This window comes from Homo sapiens, chromosome 15 (assembly GCF_000001405.40).
Source record: "Homo sapiens chromosome 15, GRCh38.p14 Primary Assembly".
NCBI lineage: Eukaryota > Metazoa > Chordata > Mammalia > Primates > Hominidae > Homo > Homo sapiens.
In genome coordinates, this window is record NC_000015.10 from 22,991,627 (window position 1) to 23,007,792 (window position 16,166).

At 43.6% G+C, this 16,166-nt stretch overlaps 1 protein-coding gene across 19 annotated transcripts in view; it reads right to left on the minus strand.

Moving 5' to 3' along the window:
• TUBGCP5 (tubulin gamma complex component 5) overlaps positions 1–16,166 on the minus strand; it is a 56,545-nt gene that overhangs the window by 8,602 nt on the left and 31,777 nt on the right. For 8 of the 19 annotated variants that reach the window (NM_001354374.2, NM_001354373.2, NM_001354372.2 and 5 more), the window contains 6 exons: positions 14,642–14,726; positions 14,426–14,546; positions 13,806–13,984; positions 12,476–12,601; positions 11,439–11,527; positions 8,943–9,043 (listed from right to left, as the gene is read on the minus strand). In NM_001354374.2, the coding sequence (NP_001341303.1) occupies positions 8,943–9,043; positions 11,439–11,527; positions 12,476–12,601; positions 13,806–13,984; positions 14,426–14,546; positions 14,642–14,726 (701 nt within the window). Of the gene's footprint in view, positions 1–50; positions 757–3,472; positions 3,615–7,550; positions 8,241–8,657; positions 9,044–11,438; positions 11,528–12,475; positions 12,602–13,805; positions 13,985–14,425; positions 14,547–14,641; positions 14,727–16,166 lie in introns of those variants that run through there. The other 11 variants (NM_052903.6, NM_001354377.2, XM_047432131.1 and 8 more) reach the window with 5 other exon arrangements.

Genomic DNA, 16,166 nt, shown 5'->3' on the forward strand with positions numbered 1-16,166 from the left:
GCCACTACTGCCTTCTTCTTGTCAACCTAAAATAATCAAAAGGAACAGAATCTAGTTTAGAGAGTTTATTCAAGCAAAAAGTTTGAGGATGGGCCACCTGGGAAGCACCCATCTCAAAGAACAGAAGTCAGTGTTCCAAAGTGTAGATGTTTGGGAATGCTTATTTAGACAAAGGTTAGGGAAGTGTAACAAAATTTCATCATCTTTCTGTGGAAGACTTCATGCATAGTTATGATGATCTGATTAGTCAAGTTGGTCTTTTTCTTCCAGGCAAGGCATATTTAACATTCCACACTGAGGTTGTACTAGTGATAGGGTCTTGAGCACCGTCTGGTCCACATTAGGTACCGGACAGCAAAGGAGGCAGTTCATCTACAACAAAACCAGTGATTGGAAGTGGGGAGGTCTGGTCTCTGGTCTCTCTTAGTCATTTACAGAACAAGAACAATGAGGAAGAGAGTGAATCTGAGAAGAATTGCAGTCGTACGACCTGACAGTCTCCAGGGCTCAACTTCCTCCCTGGCGTAATAAATCCAGACAGTCCTGAAGTTTTACTTTCATTGACTCTCTGGATCCTGTGGCTCCCGAAGGAGGCATCTGGCTCATCTTCATGATGAGAGGCCCTAGCTTCTGCAGCACCTCCACACCACCAAGGCCAGAAGCAGCAAGAACTGACGCAGGTTTAGGTCCCTCCCAAACCTCCTGTGGACAGTAGGCTCCAGCGTCGGATGCAGACAACAGGCAGCCCTATGGAAACTGACGAATCAGTTTACACAATTAACTGTGTAAGAGCAAAGCCCTGCAGCAAGTCCACGATTATCCACAGGTATGGGTGTATGGGTAATATATATATACACACATATATATGTATGTATATGTGTGTCACACACACACATGTATATTAATGGCTCTGCTCTTGGACTGATACAGATTTTGGTACAGAGAGAGGATGCTGCTGTAGCAAAACCTAACAGGTGGGCATGGCTCTGGGACCAGGGTTTGAGGAGAGTGTTGATGACACTAAAGTGCTTTGAACACACTGTTCTTAGACTTTGGACTTTGAGGACATTGCTGAAGAGGGCTTAAAAGAAAGTGAGAAGAATGTTGTTATTGGAAATTGAAGGAAGACTTTCACTAAGTAGCAGCAGAAAGTTTAGCCCTGCTGTTACCTGACGTTACATGGATAGGACAGAATATACATAATAAACGGGTGACCTAGCTAATGAGATTTTCCAAACAAAGTATTCAAGATGCTGCCTGGTTTCTTCCTGCTGGGTATAGTAAAATGTGAGAGGAGAGCATTAACTGAGAGAAAGATTTAAAAAAAAAAGGAGACAGAATTAATGGTTTTGAAATGTTTTAGCCTCCCCATACGGCAAATGATGCTAAAATAAGAAAATGACTATCGAGCAAGGATAAACTATATGGCACTGCCAAGAAAATGTGCTCTAGAGACGATGCTCAGGATGTGATTGGAAACTCTTTATTTTTGAGATTGAGTCTCGCTCTGTCGCCCAGGCTGGAGTGTAGCGGTGTGATCTCAGCTCACTGCAACCTCCACCTCCCGGCTTCAAGCGATTCCCCTGCCTCAGCCTCCTAAGTAGCTGGGATCACAGGCATGCGCCACCATGCCCGGCTAACTTTTGTATTTTTAGTAGAGACAGGGTTTCACCATGTTGGTCAGGCTGGTCTCGAACTCCTGACCTCGTGATTCGCCTGCCTCTGCCTCCCAAAGTGCTGAGATTACAGGTGTGAGCCACCGCGCCCAGCTGGAAACTCTTTTTTATTTTGAGACATGAACTTACTCTGCCGCCCAGGCTGGAGTGCAGTGGCACGATCAAGCTCACTAGACCCTCGACCTCCTGGGCTCAAATAATCCTCCCACCTCAGCCCCCGAAGTTTTTTTTTTTTTTTTTTTTTTTTTTTTTTTTAATATGAGACGGAGTCTCGCTCTGTCGCCCAGGCTGGAGTGTAATGGTGCGATCTCGGCTCACTGCAACCTCCGCCTCCTGGGTTCAAGCGGTTCTCCTGTCTCAGCCTCCTGAGTAGCTGGGATTACAGGTATGCACCACCATGCCCAGCTAGTTCTTGTATTTTCAGTAGAGATGGGGTTTCACCATGTTGGCCAGGCTGGTCTCGAACTCCTGACCTCAGATGATCCACCTGCCTCGGCCTCCCAAAGTGTTGGGATTACAGGCGTGAGCCACCGTGCCCAGACTAATTTTTGTATTTTTTGTAGAGATGCGGTTTCACCACGTTGGCCAGGCTAGTCTTGAACTCCTGGGCTCAAGCGATTCGCCTGCCTCGGCCTCCCAAAATGCTGGGATTACAGGTGTGAGCCACTGAGCTTCTGATGTCAAAAAGATTAATAAATGTTGCCTCAGAGTACCCTTTAGTGACACTAAAGGCTCTGTGAATAGATTAAGGGTGTGTCTCACAGAATCTCTCCAACAATAGGGTCTTTTTTCCCTTCTTTTTTAGGATGAAGTTTTGCTCTTGTTGCCCAGGCTGCAGTGCAATGGTGCAGTCTCGGCTCACTGCAACTCTGCCTCCTGGGTTCAAGAGATTCTCCTGCCTCAGCCTCCCAGGTAGCTGGGATTAGAGGTGCCCACCACCACGCCTGGCTAATTGTTTTGTATTTTTAGTAGAGACGGGGTTTCACCATATTGGCCAGGTTGGTCTTGAACTCGTGACCTCCAATAATCCGCCTGCCTTGGCCTCCCAAAATGCTGGGATTACAGGCGTGAGCCACCGTGCCTGGTCCCAGTCCATTTTACAGATAGGATAGGGCGATGTGCAGCACGGCCTTAGCTTTTCCACACACATGAGCAAAGGAACAGCTCTTAGATTCAGTGTAAAGATGTCTTTTCATTCAGAAAACTCAAGCAGTTTGAGACTCATCCAAGTTGTTACAAAGTCATGTTTTCCTTTCTGTGCAGTATTCCATTGGGTAAATTGAAGCTGTTTATTCATTCACCAGTTGATGGTCATGTGGACTGTTTCTAGTTTTTGGCACTTATTCGTAAAGCCACTATAAACATTTGTGTACAGGTTTTTGTGTGAATATACATTTCATTTCTCTTGGGTAAACACCTAGGAGTGGGATTGCTGGGTGATAAGTTGTTTAACATTGTAAAAATATGTTTAATAAAGATATGTTTAACAGTGTAAAAGACTGAAAAACTCTTCCAAATTGGCTGTACCAAGGCTGGGCACGGTGGCTCACGCCTGTAATCCCAGCACTTTGGGAGGCCAGTGCAGGATTGTGCTTGAGCTCCAAAGTTTGAGACCACCCTGGGCAACATAGCGAGACCCCATCTATATTTTAAAAATAAGGCCGGGGGCAGTGGCTCATGCCTGTAATCCCATCACTTTGGGAGGCCCAGGTGGACGGATCACTCGAGGTCGGGAGTTCAAGAACAGCCTGGCTAACACGGTGAGACCCCATCTCTATTAAAAATACAAAAATTACCTGGGCATGATGGTGTGCGTCTGTGGTCCCAGCCACTCAGGAGACTAAGGCAGGAGAATCACTTGAACCTGGGAGGCAGAGGTTGAGGTGAGCTGAGATCACACCATTGCACTCCAGCCTGGGGGACAGAGCGAGAATCTGTCTAAAATAAATAAATAAATAAAAATAAAAATAAAAGAATAAATAAAAGAAATACAAATTAAAAGATCACTCAGATGCTGTTTTACTCATTCAATTATAAAAACAGAAGTGACCCCTGGATTCTGTTGGGAAGCACCATACTGGTGTCCGGCTCCACCTTGTTCGTGGTCCCCCATAGGAGGGCACCTGGCCCAAAGCCACCTGCAGCTTTAAAGACATTGTGTAACCTAAGAAACCTCCTGGGATGTGCTGCTAGGAAAGTCATCTGCAAACACACACCAGGTGAGATCGCACCACTGCAATCCAGCCTAGGTGACAAAGCAAGGCTCCGTCTCAAAAAAAAAAAAAAACAAAACAAAAACCAAAAAAACCCAAATTGGCTGTACCATCTGCATTTCCACCAGTAATGTAAGAAATTCCCAGTTGCTCCACACCCAGCCCCACACTTGATACAATTCAATGAGTTTTGTCACATGCATGTACCTGTGGGACCAATGAAGACACAGAACACACCCATCACCCCCAGAAATTTCCCCCAACCCCCTTTCAGGTAACATGTCATGGCCAGAGGCAACCACTGTTGCAATTTCTATCACTGGAGACTAGTTTTACCAGTTCATTAACTTCATGTAAATGGAATAATAACGGATCCTTTTAAGTCTGGCTTTTTTTTCGACATAAAGTTCCTGGAATTCTCTTATGTCGTTATGTGGATGAGCTGTGTTTTCACAGCTGAACTGCATTCCACTGCGTGCATATACTTCAGTGTTGATCCATCTACCTCTTCACCGTCATCAGGATGTTTCTAGCTTTTAGCTCTTATGAATATTCAGATACAAATCTCTGCGTGGACGCATTTAAAAATTCCTCTTGGATAAATACCTAAGGGTGAACTGCTGCTTCTCAGGGGTAGATACATGTTAACCTTTGTAAGAAAATGCCATATAGTTTCCCCAAGTGCTTGTACCATCTTGTAATTTCCAGTTGCTCTAAATCCTTGAAAATTATTTGACATGCCGGTCTTTTTATTTTAGCCATGCCAGAGGCTGTGGTGCTCGTGCGGTTTAATTGGCCATTTTTGTGCCTTCCTTGCCTCTTTGTGCTCATTAAAAAAAATGTCTTGGGCTGGGTGCAATGGCGCACACCTGTAATCCCAGCACTTTGGGAGGCTGAGGCCAGAGGACTACTTGGGCCCAGGAATTCACATCAGCCGGGGAACATAGTTAAGACTTCATCTTTTTAATTTTTATTTTCTTTAATTTTTGAATCAGAGTCTTGCTCTGTCACCCAGGCCGAAGGGCTGTGGTGTGATCTTGGCTCACTGCCACTTCCAACTCCCAGGTTTAAGCAATTCTCATGCCTCAGCCTTCCCAGAGTAGGTGGGACTACAGGTGTCTGTCACCACACCCAGCTATTTTTTGTATTTTTAGTAGAGATGGAGTTTCACCATGTTGGCCAGGCGGGTCTCAAACTCCTGGCCTCAAGTGATCGGTCTGCCTAGGCCTTCCAAAGTGCTGGGATTATAGGCATGAGCCACTGCACCTGGCTGAAAACCCAACTCTTCCAAAAAAACACAAAAGATTAGCCGCATATGGTGGTGCATACCTGTAGTCTCAGCTACTCAGGAGGCTGAGGGAGGAGTGCTTGCTCCCCGGAGGTTGAGGCTTCAGTGAGCCAAGACTGTGCCAATGCGCTCCAGCATGGGCAACAAAGCAAGACCTTGCATCAATGAAAAAAAAAAAAGCTTGTCTTACTAATTTAAAATGCCTTCATACACTCTGAACATAGTTACTTCTGGACACCCTGGGCAACAGTGGTTGCCTCTGGGCATGACATGGTTCCTGAAAGGGGCTAAGGGGAAATGTTCTCTCCCAGTCTGTGGCCTGTATTACCATTTTCCTAGCAATGTTTTTTGGTGATGTCCAATTCACCAATAATTCCTTTTTTTTTTTCCTTTTGAGACGGAGTCTTGCTCTGTCACCCAGGCTGGAGTGCAGTGGTGTGATCTCGGCTCACTGCAACCTCTGCCTCCCAGGTTCAAGCGATTCTCCTGTCTCAGCCTCCTGAGTAGCTGGGACTACAGGTGTGCGCCACCACGCCCGGCTGATTTTTGTATTTTTAGTAGAGACGGGGTTTCCCCATATTGGTCAGGCTGGTCTGGAACTCTTGACCTCAGGTGATCCACCCACCTTGACCTCCCAAAGTGCTGGGACTGCAGGCATGAGCCACCGTGCTCGGCCCCTTTTTTGATTTTATGTAAGAAATCTTTGTCTACCCCAAGTTTGTAGTGTTAATTTCCCATGTTTGCTTCTAGAAGCTTTCTAGTCCTAACTTCCACATTTTGTTGTTTCCAGTTCTAGCTTTCATATTTTTTTTCTTTTTCTTATTTTTTTCTGAGACAGAGTCTCGCTCTGTCGCCCAGGCTGGAGTGCAGTGGCATGATCTCAGCTCACTGCAACCTCCGGCCACCCAGGTTCAAGCAATTCTCTGGCCTCAGCCTCCTGAGTAGCTAGGATTACAGGTGTGTGCCACCACGCCCAGCTAATTTTTGTATTTTTAGTAGAGACAAGGTTTCACCACATTGGTCAGGCTGGTCTCGAACTCCTGACCTCATGATCCACCCACCTTGGCTTCCCAAAGTGCTGGGATTGCAGGCATGAGTCACTATGTGTGGCCTTTTTTTTTTTTAAAGATAGTCTCACTCTATAAAAAGAAAATATGGAAAAATTTAATAGTAAGCATAATTCTATTCAAAATATAACTGGTTAGCTCACAAAAATTGCTCAGAAATATTGCCAGGCACAGTGGCTCACGCCTGTAATCCCAGCACTTTGGGAGGCTAAGGCGGGTGGATCACCTGAGGCCAGGAGTTCGACACCAGTCTGGCCAACAAGGTGAAACCCTGTCTCTACTAAAAATACAAAAATTAGCTGGGCGTGGTGGTGCACGCCTGAGATCCCAGCTACTCGGGAGGCTGAGGCAGGAGAATCACTTGAATCCAGGAGGCAGAGGTTGTAGTGAGCCGAGATCGTGCTACTGCACTGCAGCCTAGGTAACAGAGTGAGCCTCCACATTTCAAAAAACAAGGAAATACCAAACAATAGTATGTACCAACAGTTGGCCCTAAGTGAAGTTGGCCTTTTACATTTATCGCTATCAGTTGAAGCTATTTTCCATGTAGAACTTCTCAGGCACAACAAAACATATATACATTTCTTTCTTTCTTTTTTTTTGTTGGAGACAAGGTCTTGCTCTGTTGTCCAGGCTGGAGTGCAGTGATGCAATCATGGTTCACTGCAGCCTTGACCTCCCGGTCTCAATCGATCCTCCCACCTCAGCCTCCCAAGTAGCTGGGACCACAGGCATGTGCCACCATGCTTGGCTAATTTTTTTTTTTCGGAGTCTTGCTCTGTCACCCAGGATGGAGTGCAGTGGTACAATCTAGGCTCACCGCAACCTCTGCCTCCTGGGTTCAAGTGATTCTCCTGCCTCAGCCTCCCAAGTAGCTGGGATTACAGATGTGGGCCACCACACCTGGCTAATTTTTTTGTATTTTTAGTAGAGACGGGGTTTCACCACATTGGCCAGGCTGGTCTTGAACTCCTGACCTCAGATGATCCGCCCACCTCGGCCTCCCAAAGTGCTGGGATTACAGGGGTGAGCCACCGTGCCCAGCCCTTGGCTAATTTTTAAGTTGTTTTTGGAGAGATGGGGTCTCATATGTTGCCTAGGCAGGTCTTAAACTGCTGGCCTCAAGGAATCCTCTCACCTCAGTCTTTCAAAGTGCCAGGATTACAAGCTTGAGAAACTACACCCAGCCAAAATATAAACATTTCTAGGACAGCTACATCTAAGACAACTTTTAGGGAAGACAACATGTAAAACTCTATATAAAAAGCTTCTGTGACTGTAGGACAGCAGCAAAAGGATAATAAAATGATTTTAAGTCCTTTAATTTATTTTGAATATCAGTAATTACATTTTCAAAATATGATATAATTTAAAGGTATCAGTACCATAAATCTGTATCTTACAGTAGGAAATGTAAGAGTAAACAGCCTATATACACTTTGTACTACTGACACAATTTTATGTATACAACTCTATACAGTATCTACTAATCTCCAGAAAACCCACCTACAATCCATCTGTCTGGACTGTGGGCAAGTGGTTCTTTCTGAGTCAGGGTCTCACTCTGTCACCCAGGTTGCACTGCAGTAGTGCAATCATGGCTCACTGTAGCCTTGACCTCCTGGGCTCAAGTAATCCTCCCATCTTTGCCTCCTGAGTAGCTGGGACTACAGGTACACACCACCATGTCTGGATACATTTTGTATTTTTGGTAGACACCGGGTTTCACCATGTTGCCCAGGCTGGCCTCAAACTCCTGGGCTCAAGTGATCTGCCTGTCTTGGCCTCCCATCGTGCTGGGATTAGAGGCATGAGCGACTGTGCCAGGCTGACTGTGGACAAGTTTTACAAATAAACCAAAATAAAAATATTTTCACTTTTCAGCTGCACATGGTGGAAATGTACATGTATGATGACAAAGTCGGAGATATTTATTACGCTGAAGACATTTAACTTTGTTCCATGCCAGCCATGAGTGACAACGCTAGAGATTCCACTGTGGGAAGAATAAAAATAAGGTTAAAACAATAGGTTTAAATGTTGAAAAAAAATTTTTTTTGAAGACGGAGTCCCACTGTCACCCAGGCTGGAGTGCAATGGTACAATCTCAGCTCACTGCAACCTCTGCCTCCCGGGTTCAAGCAATTTTCCTGCCTCAGCCTGCTGTGTAGCTGGGATTTCAGGCATGTGCCACCATGCCTAGCTCATTTTTGTATTTTTAGCAGAGACAGGGTTTTGCCATGTAGGCCAGGCTGGTCTTCCAACTCCTGACCTTAAGTGATTCACTCAACCTCCCAAAGGGCTGGGATTAGAGGCATGAGCCACCGCGCCAGGCCAGGAGCTTTAAATTCCTAAAAAAATTTTTAAAAAGACTAGATTTTGAAAAGAAATAGTTACAAAAACTACACGATAGTGAAGTGTGACAGAAATCTATTCTGCCATCAACTTTATTTAATAGGAGTTTTAGAAATCTGTTGTAATAAATGGTATACCAGAAAGTAAGATCCTCAGGCTTACACTCACCTCACCGTAATGCTTAAAAAGCAATTCAAAGCATGGGACAACTGCTAAGGGACTTTTCAGTTTTGAAAATGGTGAGAATTTCTAATTCTTCATGGGATCAGTAACAAAACAATGACACATACACTTAGTTACAAGGAAATACAGAGGTAGAAATATTTTAACATGATATACTCACAATGGGGAAAGGATCCTCTACAGACGGCTTTGTTTAAAATGGTTACAAGAAACATATGGCAGTTTTTAAAATCAGATTCCATTTTCTCTATAGATTCCATTCTAGGAATAAAAGTAAATTTCAATTAAGTAAGTGCATTGCGGGTATATAGGTAGGCTTCAAGATATCTGTGGAGTAATTTCAAATGTATTTTGGTTTAATTATTTAAAATCCTAAATCTAAAGATTATAAAATAAAACACATAACGTCCTACCCTACTTTAAAATAAAAAATGTCAAAGTGTTTCAAAGGAAGTTTCATTAGGATATAAAACTGTGCTGTTTCCAGATAGTATCTAGTTCTGGAACTAGGAGGACCAAAGATACTCCCTTTTCCTTTATACAGTCTTGTTTTTATTGTTTACAAGCATACATTCTCTTTGAAATAAAGAACACATTAAGGATATAAAACTTAAAATCTGAAATTATTTTTAAAAAGGTTTTTTTTCTTTTTGAGATGGAGTCTTGCTCTGTCGCCCATGCTGGAGAGCAGTGGCACGATCTCGGCTCACTGTAACCTCCGCCTCCTGGGTTCAAGTGATTCTCCTGCCTCAGCCTCCTGAGTAGCTGGGATTACAGATGCCCACCACCATGTCTGGCTAATTTTTGTATTTTTTGTAGAGATGGGGTTTCGCCATGTTGGTCAGGCTGGTCTCGAACTCCTGACCTCAGCTGATCTGCCCCCACTGGCCTCCCAAAGTGCTGGGATTGCAGTTGTGAGCCATGGAGCCTGGCTGCCTTTTTTTTTTTTAGACAGAGTTTCGCTCTTGTTGCCCAGGCTGGAGTGCAATGTAGCGATCTCGGCTCACCACACCACAACCTCTGCCTCCTGGGTTCAGCAATTCTCCTGCCTCAGCCTCCCAAGTAGCTGGGATTACAGGCATGCACCACCACGCCTGGCTAATTTTGTATTTTTAGTAGAGATGGAGTTTCTCCATGTTGGTCAGGCTGGTCTCGAACTCCTGACCTCAGGAGATCCGCCCACCTCAGCCTCTCAAAGCACTGGGATTACAGGCGTAAGCCACTGTGCTCGGCTTTCTTTCTTTCTTTTTTTTTTTTTTAAAGAAATATCAAACACTTTGTAAGAGAGAACTTCAGAAGGGGTTTCCATGGCCCACTGCCCAGCCATGGCAGGTGCCACATGCCAAGCTTACACCTCCACAGCCCCACCACAATATTCAGAAGCAAACAGGAGACATCAGAGCACCACAGTCATGAATATTTCATAAGTATAAATGTATACTTTAAAGATAAAGACTCCTTTCAAAACACAGCCACAACACCATTTGCTCAAAAATATCATCTAATAGCATTCAAGCAAATTTCACATTGCTTCTACAATTTTTCACTTTTCGGCTTTAAGTCTCAATCAGGAACAATTAACTTATCCATAAACTGCGATGGTTGATAGACTTCTTAAGTTCCTCACCCCCTGTATTTTTCTCACATTTATTTGTAAAAAAAACCTGAAAGAGTTGAATTTCAGCAAAGCATATGCAGCAGTGTTATTTCTCCTCCACCCCAAAGTGAGACAAAAAAAAAAGAAAAAAAAAAAGCAAAATATATTTTGCACACTTTGAGCCAGCAATATAAAGCGAGGAAGACTTCTATTTCCATCCCTGCAGCTATGGCTTCATCTACTACCTTAGTTTCTTGATTCCGAGTACAGCCAATGGGAGATTTCGAATTATACTAGCACTCAAATGAATTCTTACTTCCTTACTGACATGGAGTAAGTACAGTCAACCAAACATGCACTTTTATTTCATGGAAGTAACAGCAGAATTACTGTTGCACTGACTTTATAAACAGGACAGGTAACAAAATATTGAGCTGTACACTGGAGTTAACAGTAGAGGATGGCAGTGCTAGAGGGAGCTGCTCCCGGGCCACTTCCCCTGATTCAGTGCACTTGCCTATGTGATGTGTGTGAATAACAAACACTCTCAAAACACAGCATCTTTTAGAGCTCATCCAAAATACAACTTTGGAGAATAGTCTAGCATGATGTCCAGAATTTGATTTAAAATAATTCAGCAAGTGTGACTGGGGAGGTGGGCACAGACATGACAGAGCTGTCCTCACTGGCACAGCTGAAGCAGGTGCCATCACGGTGTTCACAACACTGTCTTTGCCACTTCAGTTTGAAGGTGTCCATGATAAAAATTTAACAAAACGTACACAATATAACATGAGTATAATCTAAAAATGTTTGCTTGTTTAAATCAGAAGACCTCAGATTTTTAAAAATGTTTTACTTCTCAAAAAATACTTGCACTTTTTTTTTTTTTTAAAGACTGGGTTTTGCTATGTTGCCCAGGCTAGTCTTGAACTCCTGGGGTCAAGCAATCCTCTCCTCTCAGCCTCCTGAATGGCTGGGAAGACCCTGTCTCTAAAAAAAAGGGAAGCTGAAGCTGAAATGGTCACAGTGCAGATGCTGCAGAAATCACATACTTACCGCCAAGTGCCCAGGCCTGCCTGCCAACCGTCTGCAAACATGAGAGCCAAGTTCAACACCTTCATGATAGCTTCTTTCACAAAGCTGACCTGCAGACCAAAGTCACAGAACACAAACTGTGTAACTAGGTTTGGACACTGATACCAACACTTTTACCTATTTTAAATGAATCACAGAAAAAGTTCATCACCACAGTGACTGCCTTCTGTGTATATGGAAGGGTACTAGGCTCTGAACCATGCCCATTTGGGACCAGGCACATGCATTCACTGAATGTAAGATACAAGTGATATTAGCAGTACAGTCAAACCAACAAAACAAACTATTAAGACCTTTTCCTGGGATGGCCATTTAAATTCACCAATGAAACTAGGACAAATAATTGCAATGGTTTTAACATTACTGAATTCTATCTATTCACATGAAGTGGACATGCTATTGCTCCGCAACTGCAGACACAATTTTCCAAATGAATCCAAGAGTAACGCAGAGTGAGTGTTGACTATCACACATAGTTCTCATGTTGCTCTTAGATACAATTTCTACGAATAGGGCACTCCTCCTTCTGTTTTTTTTTTTTTTTTTTTTTTTTTTTTTAAGAGACAAGGTCTTGCTCTGTTACCCAAGCTGGAGTGGAGTGCAGTGGTGTCAGATCATAGTTCACTGCAGCCTCAAACTCCTGGCCTCAAACAATGCTCCCACCTCAGCCTCCCAAGTAGCTGGGCCTCCAGGTATGCACCACCATGTCTGCTAATCTTTTTAACTTTTTGTAAAGACAGAGTCTTGCTATGTTGCCCAGGGTGGTCTTGAACTCTTGGCCTCATAAGATCTGCCTGCCTCAGTTTCCCAATGTGCTGGGATTACAGGCATGAGCCATTGTGGCCGGCCTGGGGCATTTGTTTGTAACCTCATTTCATCTGGTTCTTCCTTAAAGAATATTCTACAGGACAGAAGCTTAATCATCATAAAATTCCAAAGCACGCAGACAGCGCCACTCGCCCAGCAGTGGCCACATCTGCAGGAGACATCTCATGTACCTTTTCTCTCAGCAGACACCGGTCATGGATGGTTGACAGATACCTATAGTGAATTTTAATCAATTGATCTAAATCCTTGGCTTCCTCGACTTGATGTTGAAACTCCAGCCCTGTACTGTGTAGAATCTTGGAAGAGAAAGATAAAAAGCTTCATCAGCAGCCTTCTTTGAGGACTTGTGTGCTGCACACAAATCTTTTTTACTAAGCTCTTCTACTCCTCTCAAATTCTTCCTTCAATAAGCACATCTAGACAGTTTCATAAAGTACCATTCTTCAAAGGCTGGCTGGATACTCTGGCGTTCTGATCCTAAGAGGACGGCGGGGGCAATCCTGTAGGACGCCCACTTGCACAGTGAATGAATGAACGCCAAACTCTGGACTAACAGACTTCCTGGCAGGAAGGGGCAAGCACATTAAGCTGTATATAAGACACATCGATAAAAAAAAAATCAAGTAAATGTGTTACTTTTATACAAATAATTACAGTGAATTTATGTTTCTTAAGTTCCTTTTCTCATACATTGATCTTTCTCTAAAATGAGTATAAGTATACCTCAAATAAAAAACAAACTAAGAAAAAACTTAAACTCTTATCATTTACTCTTAACAATTAGGGGCTTAATGAAGGCCAACCTTGTGAAGGCAGTAATGCAGTCAGGGGAAACGTGGAGCCCCTCTGCCATAGCCTTCCCATCCAAAACACAGGCTTCAGTGGCTCACTTCACCCAAGCAAGTTGGGTTTCAGAACTCACAGACCAGGTATAAACAGGTCTAAACAACAATTCAAACCCCAAATGCATACTGTCCTCTAATAATACTGCTCTTGTTCCAATTTCTGAACGCTTCTTTTAGAACTTCCCCTAGAACTGGCTTTTAGATGTATCAGAAAAATAATTTCATTTACTTTGTAGTGAGTTCTTGTTTTTAAGAAAAAAGTCTATAACCTGGCTGCATCTTCCTCCCACACACCGTAGTGGATTTTGGCTGTTATTAAACATTGGAGCCATTTTTTAGGGACAGCTGTCACCACTATTGAAACCTAAAGGACTATGCGGCACATTCTGAAGGCAATTCCAGAAGACGAGCTGTGGCTGTGCCTGTCCCCAGGGGCTGCTGGACTGGAGGGACAACAGCCTCTGGATACACATATTCCGGTATATTTACAAAAACATTCCTCCCACTGCCATGTTATTTTATGATCAAATTTGCTACATGTCCCGTTTTCACAGTCTGTAGGTATTTTTTACTTATAAACATAGTATGAGTAATTCTCTACGAACAACTGTATAGATACGACGATAGAACTGAAGCAGATGGGAGAGGCACAAACCCTGGTCATGATGTAGTTGTGCAAGCTGTTCACGAAATGCATGAGCTTCACTCTTAAGAGGAACATGCGATGAATCTGCTGTCTTACTGGTTCTTTTTGTGGTCCGAACTGAGCAACTGTGTCTTGTTCATGTATAAGGCCTTCTTTAAGTCGTGGTTTTTCTGCAGTACTAACCAGTTCTATAAAACATTGGAAGAGCAAAGTGGACAGAAAGAGCATCAACTCAAACCCCACTGCACCATGACGCCTGGCAGAAACACTGACGGATGTGGTCCTGGCACCACAGAAAGCACTGGCAGGGGTGGCAGGAACCGAACCTCAGTGCCTCTGGAAGGTGCAGTGGGAAAAGTTTCCTGTATCACTTTTCCTAATCAAGTTGTTGCATTTCAGATCAACTGTACATACAACTTCCTGATCTTTCTTTCAGGCATTTGATGTCCATAAAACTACTGCTAGAATACGCACCATTTTGGCATTTGTGTACACATAAAAAATGATCAACAACCACCAACTTTTTTTTTTTTTCCAGATCCCCGTATGCTTCCCTTTCCCATTAACCTCTTTTATTAAGGGCTAAAATTAAATAAAATTACAATTTATCTGCTGAAAACAAATCTTACCACCAAAAAGTAAAACATCCAGACTATATTTTGCCCACTTTATTTGCAATAAGAGAAGAAACACTTGATTATAAATTTTTTGACATTCCAAACTTATAACAATGTCCACGGGCCATGGGACCTATGAAACAAAAACAAAATTAGAAAGTAACCAATTACTTGCATGTTTTAATGTTAGCAGAAAACACGGTTCATACAAGGAATATCAGCATATACCTTGTAGCTGAGGGTCAGACCATCTAAGATATGAACAGGCAGCTTCTTCTTAGCTGTGTCAACATTTTCAAAAGATATAGATAGACTAAAGAAAGAAATTCCAGTTTTAGTTTGTGAAAGCACTATGTCACACAAAAATGCTCTTTTAAAATAATTGGTATTTCATTTACATAATATTCCCCAAAAGATACTGCATTTCATAAAAGAAATGCAAACATTCCAACAAATGTATCTCTTCTAACATATATTCCAGAGCAGAAATTTGGATTTAGAAACAGAGAGGGAGAAAACTTTTAAACAATGAGTTTAGTTAAAGAGACACTTAACAATGGTAGTAATTAGAAAAAGGATGAAGCTGAGGAAGACAGTAAACTTCAGGCAATGGCTGGGAAGATGAAGCCTCTGCTGAGGTTGGGGGTGGGCAGGAGAGGACGAGCAGAGCAGCTCGACGGAGCCGAGCATGTGGTGAGAGTACTGCTTCGAGAGCCCCATCGAGATGGGATGGGGTCTGCTTCTACACCAGAGGCACTGTGCAGTGCTTCATCCACAAGTTCCTGAGACAGGTTTGAATGTGACTCACAGAGGAAAGCAAGCATCTAACATGGACATGAAAATGTCCAAGTGCCAGGCACTATTATGTGTCCTTAGCTCATTTAATCCTCAAAATACTCCCATCAGTGGTTCCTGAGAAATGATGTCCTCTTCCACAGTCACAGAGGCACTAAGAGGGGATGCCTGGATGCATATGAAGAAGGTTTAAAGTGGGGAGTTAACTTCCAAATCAGAGATGTCACAGGGCAGTGTGTGATTATGAACTGGCTGATCCATGACACAGGCACTAGTCAGAATTTTTAGCTCTTTGCCGGGTGCGGTGGCTCACACCTGTAATCCCAGCACTTTGGCATCCTCGAGGATCACGAGGTCAGGAGATCGAGACCATCCTGGCTAACCCAGTGAAACCCCGTCTCTATAAAAATACAAAAAATTAGCTGGGCGCCTGTAGTCCCAGCAACTCGGGAGGCTGAGGCAGGAAAATGGCATGAACCCGGGAGGCGGAGCTTGCAGTGAGTCGAGATTGTGCCACTGCACTCCAGCCTGGGTGACAGAGCAAGACTCTGTCTCAAAAAAAAGAATTTTTAGCTCTTAATGGCCTGATATGTATGCATTCACTCAGTGCTTAGTAGGCATCTACCAAATACTAATACTAAGTTAGGTGCTGCACTGAGCAGGCAATAGAAAGCCAATCTCTCTTCCCTCCAGGGACTCCCAGCCCAGTGCAGCACACGAAGACAAGGGGGATGTAGGAATGAGCAGACCTCTGCCGGGCCCATGAACTGGAGACTATGTCACAGGGGGGCGGGAGGACAGCACTAGCAGACACCAGAAATATTCTGAAATCCCTGAAACGCGAAGGAAGACAGGAAAGAGAACATGGTGTGTATGTGTGCAAGACATGAGGCTGGGAAAATGGAGCCAGACAGTAAATAGCTTTCTCCCTTCTAAGACAAAGCTTAGTCCATCTGTT